Genomic DNA, 18,002 nt, shown 5'->3' on the forward strand with positions numbered 1-18,002 from the left:
TTTTTTTTTCTTGAGACAGAGTGTTACTACTCTGTCACCCAGACTTCAGTGTACTGCTGGGATCTCAGCTCACTGCAACCTCTGCCTCCCCGGTTCAAGCAACTCTTGTGCCTCAGCCTCCTGAGTAGCTAGAACTACAGGTGTGTGCCGATCATGCCCTGGTAATTTTTGTATTTTTAGCAGATGTGGGGTTTTACCATGTTGGCCAGGCTGGTCTCGAACTCCTGGCCTTAAGTGATCCATCAGCTTCAGCATCCCAAATTGTGAGGATTACAGGCGTGAACCACTGTGCCCAGCCCTCTTTTTTTTTTTTTTTTTCAGTCAGGATCTCACTCTGTCACCCAGGTTGGGGGCAGTGGCACAATCTCAGCTCACTGCAGCCTCTGCCTCCTGGGTTCAAGCAATTCTCCTGCCTCAGCCACTGCAGTAGCTGGGAGTAGGCAAGCACCACCATGCCTGGCTAATTTTTGTATTTTTAGTAGAGACATGGTTCTCTACTATTGCCCAGGCTGGTGTTGAACTCCTGAGCTCAAGTGATCCAACTGTCTCAGCCTCCCAAAATGCTGGTACAGGTGAGAGCCACTGTGCCTGGCCTGGTTTACCTTTGTAACAGGCCTTACGTATTGAGTTGTCTTACAAATAAGATGAATCATCACCCAGAATGGTTCAATGTGAACAATAAGGTAAGGCCCACATAACTCTCACCTTGCACACTGACAATGAACTGACCCAAAGATGTAACATTGATCCAGTTTATTGCAAAAGCAGCTACTCTGTGTGATTTCTTCCAAAACACATGGAAAACATCTCAGCTGTAACACATTTTGAAGGCAATTTACATAAACAAATTAAGCTCTAAATTTAACTCACCTTTATACATTTTGTAAAATCAGTGCTTAAACACAAAATGATTTTATAGAGTATGCATATAGCATTTACAGCCATAAGAGTACATGAAGTCCAAGAGGAAGTATGTGTGTAAATAACGAAGAGGTACAAGGACAGAAGCCTTGGAAACATCAACAGGTCTGGAAGAAAGGGAGGAACCAGAAAAAAAGACTGGAGAGGAGCCAACCTCCCCCTGCTCCCCTTCCCCCTGACTCTATGAGGTAGGAGGAAAATGGATATTGTGTGTATTGTCCTGAAGACAAAGGAAGAAGGTGTTCTAAGGAGGAGGAAGTGATCGACTGTGTCAAATGCTGCAGATCAAGCAAATGAAATGACTGCAAGTTTCCATGAATGCCAGGGGTAAAACCTGATTGAAGTGAGTTCAAGTGGTGATAGAAGAGCCTTAGCACAGCCTCTTGGAACTGCTAGACTCTAGGTACACAAAGAGAAATTATTTATTTTTTTATATCAATGGCTTTTGAGGAACAGGTGGTGTTTGGCTACATGGATAAGAAATTTTGTGGTGATTTCTTGCATTTCTAAAGTGAGAATAATAATGTTACCTTTTAATGGTGATGTAGGAAGCAGAGATAATGTGTAGTATTTATTGTTAACTCATGCTTCTTACCTTGGAGTTTTTTTTTTTTTTTTTTTCAGACAGAGTCTCGCTCTGTGGCCAGGCTGGAGTGCAGTGGCACGTTCTCGGCTCACTGAAACGTCTGCCTCCCTGGTTCAAATGATTCTCCTGCCTCAGCCTCCAGAAAAGCTGGGATTACAGGTACATGCCAGAACGCCAGGCTAATTTTTGTATTTTTAGTAGAGATGGGTTTTCACCATGTTGGCCAGGCTGGTCTCGAACTCCTGACCTCAAGTGATCCACCCACCTCAGCTTCCCAAAGTGCTGGGATTACAGGCTTGAGCCACTGTGTCTGGCCCCTTACCTTGGACCTTGATCTCTAAATGTCTATCCCGCCATCACCTCCTCTGACTCTAAATACCTGTGTCATGCTAGACTTCCTTGAGGGAGTATTTTATAGTTGTACTGTAAGAATGATAATGATGATAATCATAAATGCCAATATTATTTATTGTAATAAGTTCTTACCTTTAACATTTGGATGAAGTAAGGTATGTTAGCTTAATGGGTCAGCATTCTAATGTGGCCTTGACTTTCTACTCTTCACATTTCAGATACTCTAAGTGTAATCACAGGCTAGCCGTTTGCCTATTGCTATCAGATCCACTTTATGTGTACCTTGCTTGGTCTGTATTGCAGGGGGTTGACTTCTGCAAACTACATGTCCCAGACTCCCTAACCGACTTGCTTCCTGATAAGTTTGTATGGTGGAGGCAGTGGTGGGACATTGGAAGGTAGAAGGAAAGAAGAAACCAGGGTATTTCTCCTCCACTCTTTCTGCTTAGGGAGTATGCCTTCTCTGTGGCTCCAGTCCCCACTGGCTATAGCTTCCCTCTTTTGTCGCAGCCCTCAACAGGCAGTCTCTGTGGGTTCTTGGTCCCATTCGGCTCACCTAACTCTTGTGCTCTGGTACCATCTGTTCCCTTTGTCTCTCCAGTTTTGCTGTCCCTAATCTCTTAGGCCTTTCAGTTCTAACACCTTTGTAACTAGTTCTTTGTATTCGGTTTCTTTCTTGGAACCATCTGGTGTGCCTTTGTTCTCTTGGTAAGACCCTGACTGATACAATTATGGCAATACTGATACTTAACTTGTAGTACTGTTAAATTAAGTTTGGACTAAAGCCTCCGTTGTACATATTTTAATTTTGGCCTAAAGGTTTTTCAGTACACAGTGAACCTAACTTGATATGTAACCTAACTTGATGTGTAAAAGACTGTCACCTGCTCTTGTAAAAGTAGCCGAGTCTCATCCAACCACAGGCAGCCCTATTCAAATAAAGCAGACACCAGCTGTTTCTGTCCCTCATTTGCATTTTCTGTACATACTTTTTCCTTTTACTGTCCATAAATGTTATCTGACCATGTGGCAGTCCTGGAGTCTTTCTGAACGTGTTCTGGTTCTGGGGGCTGCCTGATTCATCATTGTTTGATCAGTTAAACTCTTAAATTTAATTTGTCTAAGGTTTGTCTTTTAAAGCCATCATGAGGATTGTAGGACATAACTTACTGAGAATATGACGTTACATATGTAAATTATAAGGCAATATTTCAGTAATTGAGTATTTTCAAAAATAGATATAAACCATATAATGATAGAAATGATAGTCTCATAAAGAATAACTTATTCGTATGCAGTATCCAGATTATCCAGATTCTTTTTTTTTTTTTTTTCCGAGACAGAGTCTGGCTCTGTCACCCAGGCTCGAGTGCAGTGGTGCTATCTTGGCTCACTGCAACCTCTAACTCCCAGATTCAAGCAATTCTCCTGTCTCAGCCTCTCGAGTAGCTGGGACTACAGGCACACACCACCATGTCCAGATAATTTTTGTATTTTTAGTAGAGATGAGGTTTCACCATGTTGGCCAGGCTGGTCTTGAACTCCTGACCTCATGATCCGCCTGCCTCGGCCTCCCAAAGTGCTGGGATTACAGGCATGAGCCACCGTGCCAGCCCAGATTTTTAAATTTATAACTTTTAATGGCTATAATCTGGTTAACTCTAATCAAGAGGAAATACTTATAAAACTTTTCAGTGTCTTTCAGCAGTTGTTATAATGTATACCTAATCAATGTTTATCTGTTCAGTACATGTTAAATCTGTGGGACAGACTGAAAAAGAAGTCTACAGTGATTTATTGCTTTTGGACATGCTTCGTCTCCTTGGGCCTTGCCAAAAGATCTGGAGACACAGTTTCATCCCAGAGAGGAAAGAAGACTTGGTAATTTTGTTCAGTAGTTTTGCCAGGAGTTCTTTTAACCCATTCTCTGGATTTTACCCCAGTTTTACACTGCAGGCCAGCATAATAATCACACTGCAAAAATCTCAAACCACTTTTACAATGCTTTATTTAAAAAGCAAAACAAAAGTGTGAAGTTTCAATATTATAGTCATAGTGGTCTAATATCTCTACTTTCCCTCTCATTACAAGTTTTTACTTATTTTTATAACCCTTTAAAATATTCCTTTTCCTGTAATAGGTATCCCTCTCTCAGATCCAAACATTGCTCAGTTTAGCAGAAACATCAAGGAACACGTAAAGTGGAAACCCTGTGCTTGACATCTTCTCTGATATTTCCTGAACTTGTTTCTCAAAAGTATCCTTAATGACAGGAAAGGGGATCTATACCTACAGGGGTTAAAGGGTCAGGCAGCTTTCACTTTTTGGAGCGGAATTTACTAAGTCATCATCATTCCTGACGACTTTGTGCATGTTATGGAATGTTGATCCTCCTTTCCATCTCTTCTGCATCTAGCAAAATCCACGCTTCCATCTAGAACCAGCACTCTGAGGCCATCCCCTAAGTCTCATGAATATAGAGCATTTTTTATTTTGCCATTTTCATCCAATTGATTTGACCCTATGTGTATTAATTATCTGTTGCTATGTAACAAATTACTCCAGAACTTAGTGGCATAAAGCAACAAACGTTTATTTTCTCATACATTTCCTGAGGGCCAGGAGTTTGGGAGCAGTTTAGCTGGGTGATTCTGGCTGAGGGTCTCTCATGAGGATGCAGTCAAAGCGCTGGCCAGTAGGCAGTCATCTGAAAGTCTGACTGGGAGTGGAGGATCCAATTCTAAGACAGCTCATTCATTCACATGGCTGTTAGCGGGAGGCCTCAGCTACTCATCACATAAGCCTTTCCACATAGTTTCTTAGGCAACATCATAACATAGCAGCTGACTTCCTGACAGGAGACTAATCCAAGAAATACAAGGTATCTGACCAAAATGGAAGCTATGATGTATTTTATTACCTAACCCCAGAATTGATAAAAACATCCATGGTCTATTGGTTACACAGACTAATCCCAGCACAATGTGAGAGGGGAATGTACAAGGGTGTAAGTACCAGGAGGTGGGGCTTGTTGAGAGCCATCTTGCTGGCCGCTAACACACCAAAAAAGTTTTGCTTCCATAATTATGAATTAAAGTGTTTATAACAGAATTATACTAACATTGATGCATTTTTTTTGAGAAAATGTTTTCTGGAATAAGCTCCATGAAACCAATTAAATTTCTTGATCAATTTTCTATACAGCACAAGTATCCTATTTCTAATTGTATTTTCATGTTTCTATTGCTTAATGTATTTTCATGAATTTTTTTCCACATTTATTTCCTAAGATGTTATTTGTTGCTCAGGTTTACTAAGGCTTTTTGCTAATCAGTTTTACTATCATGAGTTTTCTGTTGCAGCTTTTAGATCTATCAAGTCAAATTTTCCATCAAGTCAAATTTTCCAAAGCTAGGTTGAACAGATGTAACTTTGGTGAAGACTGATTCTATATCGATATTTATCAGTAACTCCAATTTTGTATTTTGAACAGTTTTAACTATAGTAATTTTCATTCTATGGTAATTATTTCTGTCTGTAATTTTCCTTGTGAGTTGGATTAAAGGCCACTATTTGGTAGTTATTCCTTAGCTAATCTATGAAGTAGTGGTGAGTAATCCCAGGTGGTTCAGAATTGCTTGATTGTTCAGGAAGGTCCTATAGCAGAGCTTACTAACTTTGTTATCCATCTTTCTGTGCCCCGTATTCCAGCTGCCTTCACCATCATTGAAGGAATATATAAGCAATATCCCTGGCATCAAAACACAAAAGGTTGTGTTCCCCAAGGGTTAAAGTGAACCCTCAATCGCCTCACCTCCTCTTCCTAAGTGTGACTTTTCCCCACCCTTCCACCTGACCTTAACCCAATGAAAACTCGAAAGTTGTTGACATCTGTGAGCTTTGATCAAATTAGGGCTAACAGCAGGTTAAAGGAAAAATCAGGTTTTTGAGGGCTGAAAAACACATTGGCCTTTTTCTTCCTTAAAGTTTTCTGAGCCTGGATCCTGGAACCAAGTCCTCCTCCTATTATGTGTTTATTGAATAAATAGACAAATGTATGAGCAGATTTTAAAAAACTGGTTAATTCCTAAGTTCCATGAAGGGCATTAGTAGAAGAAATCTTTTGAGGACCTACATTTTTTTAATCTGCAAATGATGCTCTCGTTGTTGTATGACTGAGAAACTCTCAACACAGAGACACCTCATTTTAACTTAACATGATTGTGCTACAACTGGCTTAGATTATTTTTCCTAATAAATGAAATTCTACAGAAATGACAGTTCCCTGCATTTTCTCCTAATCCATTTATTGGATTGATGTTCCATGAATTTTCAATACTTTACATACATTGAAACAAGAAGGTCAATCGTAACCTCCTTTCACCCCTTCTTGGAGAATTTCCTTCAACCAGAAATCCATCAGTTTGTTTTTTGGTGTGTGCTCAGCCCCTCTTTTGCTCTCTCCCTCCCCAAAGGGAACCCTTTTATAAGCTGAGATGAACCATTTAGATTCTCCCTTTTGAAATGGTCAAGCTGAGAAACCCAAATTGAGTTCTATGATCCTGGCACTGAAGATTCTCGGGCTAAGTCATAACATGCTTTGTGGTCTGTGTTTCAGAGAGATGAATGTAGGTGAGCTGTGTCTGGGGAAGGGAGGAAGGTACCAGGCCAATTACACTAACCACGGAAAGAGGTGAGGAGAGCCACCAGGTACCTGCAGTGGAAATAAATGGAAAAAGCACTTGGTGGAAACTGCACCGAAGAGGGGGTTTGTCGAAACAAAAACAATCAAAGACATAGGAGTTCAATCTGGGTGACTGCTGGGGACACAGATGCCTTTAACAAAGAGATCACAGAAAGCATTGCCCCTTTGAGGGTCTAGATGTTCAGCAGGCAACTCAAAACTGGGAATTCAAACAAGCCTCCCTTTGTGACTTAATATGTTCTTTTAAAAATTGTACTGTATTAACAGTTTGGTAGGAAAGCAATAGAATTACATTGTTAAAGAGTGTTAACATAAAGAAGGAAGAAACTGTAATTCCCCTATTACCGTTTTATGTTTTTTTCCAGTCATTTTCCGGATGTTTAAAAATATGTACTATTAGATTGCTTTTAAAGAAAAATTTTAATTTTGGATAAGCCAACATTTCTGAGTCTAGGGTTTCCAAAACTAAGGCTTTTGGAGGCGTGCTGGGTCAAAAATAGAAGCTCGGTAAATACTTGCTCAGTAGTGGCCTAGAACACTAAATATAAATTAAAAATGTTTTCTTTTTTTGAGGATTTAAATGTTTCCTTAACCTGAAAGCGAAACAGATTTTTGTTTGTTTTGCTGTAACGAGAGAGGAAGGAACAAGAGAGTGACAGGGTGAAGCAACTTCTCCCAGAAACTTTTGGGCGCAAACGCCCTCAAGTCCGGATCATTGGAAAGTAACTCGAAGAGAGGAGAGAACTAGCGCAAGCGTAGCCTCAAGGCGGCCGCAATCACCCCGCCCCGGGGCTGTCTCCGCCCCTGCCCTCTCTCAGTCGCCCCGCCCCGGGGGCTGTCTCCGCCCCAGCCTTCTCTTCGCGTTCCGCGTTCCGGGTTCCGGGGGAAGTGTGTTACGGGGACACTGGCCCGACTACTTTCGTTCCGTCTTCCATCGTTTTCTCTCGTGCAATGGCGTCCGGGCTGGTAAGATTGCTGCAGCAGGGACATCGCTGCCTCCTGGCTCCAGTCGCCCCCAAGCTGGTCCCTCCGGTTCGGGGAGTGAAGAAGGGATTCCGCGCCGCCTTCCGCTTCCAGAAGGAGTTAGAGCGGCAGCGCCTTCTGCGGTGCCCGCCGCCGCCCGTGCGCCGGTAGGAGCCACCTCGGGAAGAGGTCTCAGGGTGGCGGTCGCAGACACTGGGTCTTCTTCCCGCGGCGTCGTGTCTGCGGCTGATGCGCCCCTGGGTTAAGCCTTAGGAAGTTTGCGATGGAGACACCCGTGAGCTGTGGGCGCGGGGCCTGAGGCAAAAAAAATGGATTTGTGCCGCGGGCGGTAGAGCTTCGGGCTGTTCCCGACGTTTTGAAACTACCATTTAGGATTTTGGCTACTGAAAATTGGGAGAAATGGGGCTAACTGGAGGGTCTTCCTTATGTGGACTTGGATGTTGTAGTCCCCGTTTGTAATGCCTGAGAATTCCGATAAGCGGGAAGAAAGCAGCCCACAGCATCGTAAATTAAGGAGAAAAAAAATTAATCTACAACCTGAATTCTGCTGTCTAGAGTAAAAGGAAAAAAAGTTAGCTTTAGATTTTTGCCCTAATTAATGCTGTTCTGGTAACAGGTTTGGCAGAGAGAGACACAGGTTTTTATAGCTTCAAACCAGATCATACTTTACATAATTTAAATTCCTTCATCTTGCTTTTTCTCTTTAATAATGTGTGTTTGACATGTTGTCATGGTATTACAAAGATATGTACCTCACTCTTTTTTATGGCTCTGTATATATGGGCCTATGAGCTCCATATTATTGCCATTAAAACCTATGTAACAGCGCGTAAAGGGGACGCATGTGTAGTATGAAATTTTGAAAGCTATTAGTACTTTAACATTGCCCTCCAAAAAATGTTGATCCACTTTGTACTCCTACCAGTAGGAACGGTCTTCTAACAGAGAAGATTATAGCAAAAAATAAAATCTCTTCTTAATTCCCATTCCCTTGTTTATTATAAGATTAAGTATTTTAGGCTCTCAAAGGTGGAAGAAACTTTATGGGTTGGACAGATTATATAGGTGTATATGTTATATGTATATCTTACGACTTTCAACCTAGGTTTTCATACTTTGCTTCCCTTTGTTTCTTAAAGGGGTTTTATATTGTGTTACGTATAAGTAATCCAGAGATGACTTAAAGTATACAGGAGGATGTGCATAGGTTATATGCAGATACAGGTATACCTCATACATATTGTAGGGTTGGTTCTAGACCACGACAATAAAACGAGTCACATGACTTTTTTAGTTTCCCAGTGTATACCTAAGTTATGTTTATACTATTCTGTAGTTTATTAAGTGTACAGTAGTAGTGTCTAAAAAGCAATATATGTACCTTAATTTAAAATACTTTATTGCTAAAAAATGGTAACACAGAGACACAAAGTGAGCACATGCAGAATTGCTACAGACCTTCAGTTTGTAAAAATAAAATGCAATAAATCTGTGAAGCACAATAGACCGAAGTACAGTGAAACGAAGTGTGCCTGTACTACACCATTTATATGAGAGACTTGAGCATCCATGAATTTCAGTATCCAGGAGAGTCCTTGGAACCAATCCCCTACAGATATTGAGGGATGACTGCAAATATAACATACTAGTGTTTATGGCTTGAATCTGTGAAATTAACATTTATGCTTCATACTTAGGTATAAAACATAGTATCATGGTTAGAGCAGAAATAAGGAACCTAAAAGTTAGGCTAATGGCTTGGTCTTTTATATTGAAGAACCAATTTCATGTGACAATTGGATCAAAGGGAAAATTAATCCAGTCATATATGTAGAATATAGCAAAGGACTGCCAGTATTTATCTGACTTTAGTCTTAACATTTAGAATATCAACCTGGCATTAAAAAGAAATATAACCTTCTTTCATTTCCTTTATATAATTAATAACATTACAACACAGTGAACAATTTTTATATCACAGTAACAGGTTGTTCTCTTTACCATCTCTTACTGTCTTTACATTTTCAGTTCAGAGAAGCCGAACTGGGATTACCATGCAGAAATACAAGCTTTTGGACATCGGTTACAGGAAAACTTTTCCTTAGATCTTCTCAAAACTGCATTTGTTAATAGCTGCTATATTAAAAGTGAGGAGGCCAAACGCCAACAACTTGGGATAGAGAAAGAAGCTGTTCTTCTGAATCTTAAAAGTAATCAAGAACTATCCGAACAAGGGACATCTTTTTCACAGACTTGCCTTACACAGTTTCTTGAAGACGAGTACCCAGACATGCCCACTGAAGGCATAAAAAATCTTGTTGACTTTCTCACTGGTGAGGAAGTCGTGTGTCACGTGGCTAGAAACTTGGCTGTGGAGCAGTTAACACTGAGTGAAGAATTCCCAGTGCCCCCAGCTGTGTTACAGCAGACTTTCTTTGCAGTTATTGGAGCCCTGTTACAGAGCAGTGGACCTGAGAGGACTGCACTTTTCATCAGGGTACGTAACTATTAATTGGACATGCTTGAGATAGACAGAAGGGAAAATATTCTTTTGTAATTCACTTCTTTGATATATCACCTTGGAAGTGAATTTTTCTCCCAAGAAAAACTGAGAAAGACCTAAAGGTTTTTTATGGAAGGGCTGTAATTATTCCAGTTGTCTCTTATTATGGATATCATCAGAAGTGAATATTAAATTGTGGGTTGTGATTTCTGAAGGACCACAAGCCATATCATCTTTAAGTTTACATCCTTAGGGCCAAGGATACTGCCTGCATGAGAGATACTCAGTAGATGTTTGGTGAATGAGTGAAGTCAAAGGACACTATGCAGAGGCCTGTGCTTCAGTACCAGCTGCTGTCTGCTCTTCCAAGTGATGAAATGTTGGATTTCAAGTCCCTCTAATGTAAAACTCTTTGTTAGCTAGTGGCTTAGCTAATTCAGATTCTTATGTAATTGGTACAACTTGACTCCCACTGTCCTTTTATAATTTATTAACTGGGAGAAGTTTTATCCTCTGCCATTGGATGAAAACATGAGGTTTTGTTCACTTTTTGATAATAGAGAGTCCACACAATCACTTTAAGTCATAAAAACAGTCTTGATTCAGGCACCTATCTGACTGACATTCAGTCTTTAAACCTGCTGTTGGAATCTGTTCATTTAGTTTTGATACCAAGTTTGATAATTTTGTTAGAGAATATCTGTATTTACTGACACTTCAGGCTTTGTTCATAGGTAAGACCTATCTTTCTCCCCCCAGTTAGTTTTTTCTATAGAAATTCTGACAAAGTCCTTTTTGATTTCCAAACTATAACTCTGTGGAGTAAGTTTTAAAACTCTAAATAATTTTTGGTCACCATTTTGAAATTCTACAAGGTAGTCATGAAACTATGTTGGAAATATTTACCATATTGTAATGCGTCTTAACAGTTCCAAGTAAAGATCTTATGAAACATAGATAATTCAAATATCTGTGTCTAAGTTGAGCTTTGATGTCTCTTATAGTAGAATTGACAGGTTTGTATTGTCCTGTTTCATTTGTTCATCCACTTAATGTTGAGTGCCTTACTATGGGCCAGGCACTCTGCTGAGCTCTGAAGCCGCTATCTAAATAGGATTTGATGCTACTCACAGCTCATTATTCAGATGGAATGCAATGTGGAAGTGCTTTCCTAGAGGTGTTAAGGTGCAGAGTGAACTTAGAGGAGGCAACAGCCAACTTTAGTAAGGCTAGAAAAGGTTTTACAGAAGTGATTTGTGCCCCTTAAAAGGATGTTTTGGGAAGACAGTGTCAAGGATGAGCTTGTGCTTGGGAACTACAGTTAATTTTTTTGTGGCTGGATCATATTGCGTTTGGCAAAGTGATCAGAGATAAGTCTGGACCTTTAAGAGCCAGTGTACAGAAGAGCTAACAGTATTACTAAGAAAGTGGTTTGGGCATCAGTATCAGCATCACTGGAGAACTTGATAGAAATGCAAATTCTCAGGCACCCCCTCAGAGTACATAATCTCTGGGAGTAGGGCCTAGGAATTTGTATTTTAACTAGCTCTCCAGGTGATATCTCTGCATCTGGAAATTAGAACGGCACTCTTAGCCATGCTACAGCGTATGTATTTTGATGGTCTTGTGTAGCGACAGCTGGAGTTGTTCTAAGTGGGAGGTTTTTAATGATCAAATGTGCATTTTAGAAACATCATTTCTTCATACTGCTTCCCTATTCTGGGGAGATGAGATTGGAGTATTCAACTCAAACCCTACTAGAAAGCTCTAATTATTAAGACCAGGAGCAAATAGCAAAAAATAGAAGGAGGCGATAGAAGGTAATCACTTAAGAAAAATTGAGCTTTCTTTCTATATTCCTACTAATATCTTAGATGATGGGAAAGAGCTGTGTTTCCTAACCTTACACTTGGTTATTCTATATGACAGATAGCAGTTCAGTGATTTTTATATATGTGTATATACGTATCCCATAAGGCATATCTACCTCTGTACATTAAAACATTTCAAAATCCCCTACTGAGAGTGGATGTAAGTTTTTTTTTCGAGGCAGCATCTCTGTTGTCCATGCTGGAGTGCAGTGGCACAATCACAGCTCACTGCAGCCTCGACTTCCTGTGCTCAAGCCATCCTCCTATATTAGCCTCCCTAGTAGCTGGGACCACAGGCATGTGTCACTATGCCCAGCTAAATTTTTTCTGTAGAGCCGTGGTCTCATTATGGTGTTCAAGCTGGTCTTGAACTCCTGATTTCAAGTGATCCTCCCACCTCAGCCTCCCAAAGTGCTGGGATTATAGGTATCAGCCACCACGCCTGGCCTAATATTTTTTATTAATGAAGCTGAAAGTGTTCTGGTGCTTGGAGGAGTGTTGTAATGAATTGACTTCATTTCATGAACTAAGTGATCTTTTTAAATTTCTTCCCTCTGCCTCCATCCATCCATCCATCCATCCATCCATCCTGTTATCATATTACTAATGTTTGTTAATACAAGTTAATTGGAATATGTAAATTGCTGTGGAAATTAATGTTTGCTTCCATAGTTTCTATACAACATAATACTTTTTACTGGCAAAATCAATTCTGCTTTGAATGTTCATAATTTCTCAGTTATCTTCGTCATATAAATAATTACTAGTATGCTACAGTTTTAAAAGTTTATGTGAAATTATTAAAAGATTTTTTTAAATTATTTTTTATTATTTTTTGAGACAGAGTCTTGCCGTGTTGCCCAGGCTGGAGTGTAGTGGTAGCATGATCTTGGCTCACTGCAACCTCCACCTCCCAGGTTCAAGCAATTCTTGTGCCTTAGTCTCCCTTGTAGCTGGGTTTACAGGCGTGCAGCATCACGCCTGGCTAATTTTTGTATTTTTAGTAGTGACAGGGTTTCACCATGTTGGCCAGGCTACTCTCGAACTCCTGGCCTCAAGTGATCTGCCTGCCTTGGCCTCCCAAAGTGCCGGGATTACAGGTGTGAGCCACCTCACCTGGCAGAGTTTTTAAAAACATTATTAATGGAGGAAGTATTGTTATTTAGAGGCCCTGAGTGCCATTTTACATGAGTTTCTATGAGAAGTTACTACTTTTTATTCGTTAATTCTTTAAATAATTTTTTTCTTACTAGTAGGAATATAATTCTAAATTATAAGATAGGGCAGGGTACGGTGACTAATGCCTGTAATTCCAATACTTTGAGAAGCCAAGGCAGGAGGATCCTTTGAGGCCAGGAGTCGAGACTAGGCTGGGCAACTTATGGAGACCTCATCTCTATAAAAAATTTAAAAGCTAGCCGAGTATGGTGGTGTGCACCTGTAGTCTCAGCTGCTGAAGAGGCTGAGCTAGGAGGATTGCTTGAGCCCAGGAGGTCGAGGTTTCAGTCTACTTGTGATCACGCCTCTGCACCTCTAGCCTAGGCAATAGAGTGAAGCCCTGTCTCAAAAAAGAAAAAAAAAATTATAGGATTCTACCTTCTGTGGAATTTTGGTAGATCATACTGCTTGAAATAGGTTTCTCGGGCTTGCAAATTTTTTTAATCCAACTATGATTTTTGCAATAAAATTAGTGTAAAAACTGTGGGAATGAAAAAGAATAGTACATTTTTGTCTTTCGTTTCCCATTAAGTTTTAAATTTCTGTTAAAAATGTACTCTGTGGCTTCTCTAATTTAAAAAGTGTAAAAAATGTATTTTGAATTGTCCTAATGTTCTTTCTACTAATTAAAATGTATAAATTATATTTTTATATGCAGGACTTCTTAATTACTCAAATGACTGGAAAAGAGCTCTTTGAGATGTGGAAGATAATAAATCCCATGGGGCTATTGGTAGAAGAACTGAAGAAAAGGAATGTTTCAGCTCCTGAATCAAGACTTACTAGGCAGTCTGGTGGCACCACAGCTTTGCCTTTGTATTTTGTTGGCTTATACTGGTTAGTGAAATTTTAATCTTAACTTTATAACTTTGAGGAAATCCTAAAAACAGACTCCTCACAAAGCCTTAAAAACACTCTTCACATTCCATAAGGAATGTTAACATAACCTCTTCAGATTCCTTAACGTAACTTCTAATTGCATGAAAAGATTTTTTAAAAATCTCTTCCCCATGGTTATTATTTACTACTTCCCTTCCCGCTAGTTATGCTTAGGAAGAATCTGAGTTTTGCTAATAGCTTTTGTCAGCCAACTATTTGCTATAGACTTTCAGTGTGTTATCTTAAATTTTTCTGTGTAGAAGTACAAATGTTGACTTGTTCGTGTTAGAGATTCAACCTTAATCCATTCTTGTCAGTAGCTTCAACTGAGCCTAGAACTGGAAAAGGAAGGGCCTTAGTTATCCATCAAAATGTGTAAATCAACCCATGTTGAGAGCTTTTTAGTTTTGTTAGTAAAAAGTTGACTTGCCCCAAATTAATCTCAGATGTTAAGATTAAAGTGTTAAATGTAAATATTGAATATTTAAGATAGCTAGATTAAAATTTAGGTAAATATTTTTCTAATCCTTGTATCACGAAAGACTTTATAAGTATAAAAGAAATAGAAGTTACCACATGGGGAAAATGGATAGTGTTGTATAAAGTTTTATCTATTGAAATGCAAAAACAGTGAGATACTCTTTGTTACTTACCTGATTGGCAAACCTTTTAAACATATCTTTTATCATCAGTTTATATACTGCTGGTAGGAAAAAAATGTACCATATTTCTGTGAATAATTTTGACAAAATGCCAAGCATCTTAAAATTTTTTATGTTCTTTGATTTTGGTATTTCAACTTTGGGTTGTTTGCCTTAGATTTACAGGCAAATTTTGTGAACAAAGACGTTTGTTGTTTACCTCTTTATGCTCCATACTTTGAACAGTTGCTGGGACATGGTGGTCAGTAAATAGTTGTTGAACTAAAAAACAATTAGAAATAAATTTGATATTCCACAAGAGGGAAATGATACGTATACATGATGGAATATAGTACAGCTATTACAGGCGACATTTTAAAAGAATTTTTAATGAGATTGGGACATTTTGGAGAATGATCTTTTATCTAAAAAAAAAAATGTAAGAAGTAATTTGCCATATCACTACAGTGATTACTATTGGATAGTAGTGTTTTTGTAGATTTTACATAATGACTTTTTAAAACGTGATCAGTGATAAAACCAGCAACATTAGACTAAAAACAAAATTCTGTGCTTGTTATTCACTTCAAGATGACTTTTTCTGATTCTCAAACTTTGTGCAAATTTGTATGTGTTTATTATTATAAAGTTTAACTTAATAGAACCTTTGTTTCATTTCCAATTATTGTCATAACAGATGTTTTTTAGCAAATTTATTTCATATTGTTGTTGTTTTATTTGTGTAGCTTCACTAGTTTTTCTTTAATTTGGTTTCGGTCTTCACTTTCAAATCAGCTTATATTGAATCTGACTTAGTAAATGCAGTTGCCGATTGAATCTGATTTAGTAAATGCAGTTGCTATGCATTAAACTTTCAGGAGATGCTTCTTTGAATTGCACAGATGAAATTTTAGGTCAGAAAATTTCCAGGAAGTAGTTAAATATATTTCAGAAGTAGCAAAACAAATAGGATTATAGTTATTTGATGTGCACATTCTACATTCTTTGCTCCCTTGAAGGAACATTTTACATTTTTAAAGAAGATAAATGGTTATGATATAGAAATACCAGTAAAGCAGAGGAATACCTACATTAGATTTATCGATAGAATACTCATAGCCAACATTGAGTGTTACCTCACTTGGGAATAAATTAGAGTGGATTAGAAATATATAAAATGATTTAAAAATCTGAGCCTGTTTTGAAGCTCTTTTTTTTTCCTTTTTATTTAATTACTATTTATCTTCTTTCTTTTTTCTTTTTTTTTCAGAGGTCTCACTATGTTGCCTAGTCTGATCCCTAACTCCTGGGCTCAAGCAGTCCTCCTGCTTTGGTCTCCCAAAGTGTTGGTGTTAAAGCTGTGAGCCACTGGGAGGCCAAGGCGGGCGGATCTTGAGGTCAGATCGAGACCATCCTGGCTACGGTGAAACCCCCGTCTCTACTAAAAATACAAAAAACTAGCTGGGCGTGTTGGCGGGTGCGTTGGCGGGCACCTGTAGTCCCAGCTACTCAGGAGGCTGAGGCAGGAGAATGGCGCGAACCCAGGAGGCGGAGCCTGCAGTGAGCCAAGATCGTGCCACTGCACTACAGCCTGGGCGACAGAGTGAGACTCAGTCTCAAAAAAAAAAAAAAAAAGTGTGAGCCATCATGCCCAGCCTAAAGTTCTTAATTTGAAATATAGAGCTGGTTTCTGGTTTCTTATTTGTGTTAAAGTTTAAATGACAGACTCAAAAGGCATAATTTTTTCAACAGAATCTTTTCCCAAGTTATATCACACATTAAAAATAAAAATAGTCATAATTCCTGATAATATTTTTACTAGTTTCAGGTTTTTGTAAGGAGATATTTATTTTTCCCAAGTTATATCACACATTAAAAATAAAAATAGTCATAATTCCTGATAATATTTTTACTAGTTTCAGGTTTTTGTAGGGAGATATTTATTTACATATTCTTCCAATTCTCTCATCAACAATTGAAAACCTAGATACGACTTGCTTTTTTGACTTGACAGAGTTGTATATATTTCTAAGGAAACGTAAGTGTATCTTTGTCTAATTACCATATGTAATGAACTTGCAACAAATCTAGTTAAAATCCAAAAGATGATCTATCAGAGCTATTGTGTTACTTCTAATGGGTATTATTGAAATAGATGTAGAAGGCATAATTGCTTTATAACTGCTTTGTGTACTGTCTTACAATATTCCATGTAATTTAAGACTACTGTTTGTTCTCTTTCTAGTGATAAAAAGTTGATTGCAGAAGGACCTGGGGAAACAGTATTGGTTGCAGAAGAAGAGGCTGCTCGAGTGGCCCTTAGAAAACTTTATGGATTCACAGAAAATAGACGGCCGTGGAACTATTCCAAGCCCAAAGAAACCTTGAGAGCAGAAAAGAGCATCACTGCCAGCTAGCCGCCATGGATGCAGCAGCCTGAAACTTGAGAGCGAAAGTGAGATAAATGTCAAAGGTGTTTCAAGCCAGACATTTTCACAATTGTGAAGAAATAGATGTTTTGTTTCTGTTTTTTACTGTGTTCCCAAAATTAAATAAGTGTTAACCAAGTCACAGTGTTTTTGGTTTTGTTTTTCTGAAATCTTGGTTTGATCAAATCTTTTTTTTTTTCTCTTGAGATGGAGTCTTACTCTGTCGCCCAGGCTGGACTGCAGTGGTGCGATCTCGGCTCACTGCAACCTCCACCTCACAGGTTCAAGCGATTCTCGTGGCTCAGCCTCCCTAGTAGCTGGGATTACAGGCACACACCACCATACCTGGCTAATTTTTGTATTTTTGGTAGACATGGGGTTTCACCAAGTTGGCTAGGCTAGTCTTGAACTCCTGACCTCAGGTGATCCACCCGCCTTGGCCTCCCAAAGTGCTGGGATTACAGGTGTGAGCCACTATACCCGACCAGATCAAATCTTTTTTTGACATTTTTGCAAAAAAATTTTCCTAATGTTCTTGATTTAATTGTATAGAATTTGTATAATTAGGTGTATTTTATTTGCGTCTAGCTTTGAGGTATCATAATTTATGTATCTTATGTGAATTTTTTGCTGTAATACCAATAAAGTTTTTTTTCTCCACATGTTAACATTGCATTTTAATTTGATATACCCAGTAATGGCAGGAGGTTGATGAACTTCGCTTCTGTAATACAATTTTAACTAAAATAGTAATGTTAAAACTCTTTGGGAAATGCATAGTACAGATTATAAGTAGGCAGCTATTTACATGATCCCTAAATTCTAAGTTTAAAATTATGTATACTTCTAGTATGTTTCTTATTCAATTTCTATTATAAATAGCAGGAAAAGGCAAATTTATGCTTTTCAGA

At 38.7% G+C, this 18,002-nt stretch overlaps 1 protein-coding gene across 2 annotated transcripts, besides 2 other annotated features; it reads left to right on the forward strand.

The window, feature by feature from the left end:
- On the forward strand, window positions 899–17,759 carry MRPL44 (mitochondrial ribosomal protein L44). 2 transcript variants are annotated; one of them, XM_011511668.3, is made up of 4 exons: window positions 899–1,109; window positions 9,579–10,047; window positions 13,801–13,979; window positions 16,908–17,759. In XM_011511668.3, exons 1-4 carry the CDS (start codon window positions 973–975, stop codon window positions 17,077–17,079), a joined length of 957 nt encoding a protein of 318 aa, XP_011509970.1. In that variant the 5' UTR covers window positions 899–972; the 3' UTR covers window positions 17,080–17,759. The 2 variants fall into 2 exon arrangements, with proteins under 2 accessions (XP_011509970.1, NP_075066.1); NM_022915.5 differs by lacking the exon at window positions 899–1,109 and adding an exon at window positions 7,508–7,696.
- Window positions 7,283–7,352: a silencer, noted in NCBI's record as "silent region_12379". NCBI's record gives its function as "represses an Ori minimal core promoter by ATAC-STARR-seq in GM12878 lymphoblastoid cells {active_cell/tissue: GM12878}" and the evidence as "EXISTENCE:reporter gene assay evidence [ECO:0000049][PMID:35858748]".
- Window positions 7,423–7,592: an enhancer, noted in NCBI's record as "active region_17184". NCBI's record gives its function as "activates an Ori minimal core promoter by ATAC-STARR-seq in GM12878 lymphoblastoid cells {active_cell/tissue: GM12878}" and the evidence as "EXISTENCE:reporter gene assay evidence [ECO:0000049][PMID:35858748]".

This window comes from Homo sapiens, chromosome 2 (assembly GCF_000001405.40).
Source record: "Homo sapiens chromosome 2, GRCh38.p14 Primary Assembly".
NCBI lineage: Eukaryota > Metazoa > Chordata > Mammalia > Primates > Hominidae > Homo > Homo sapiens.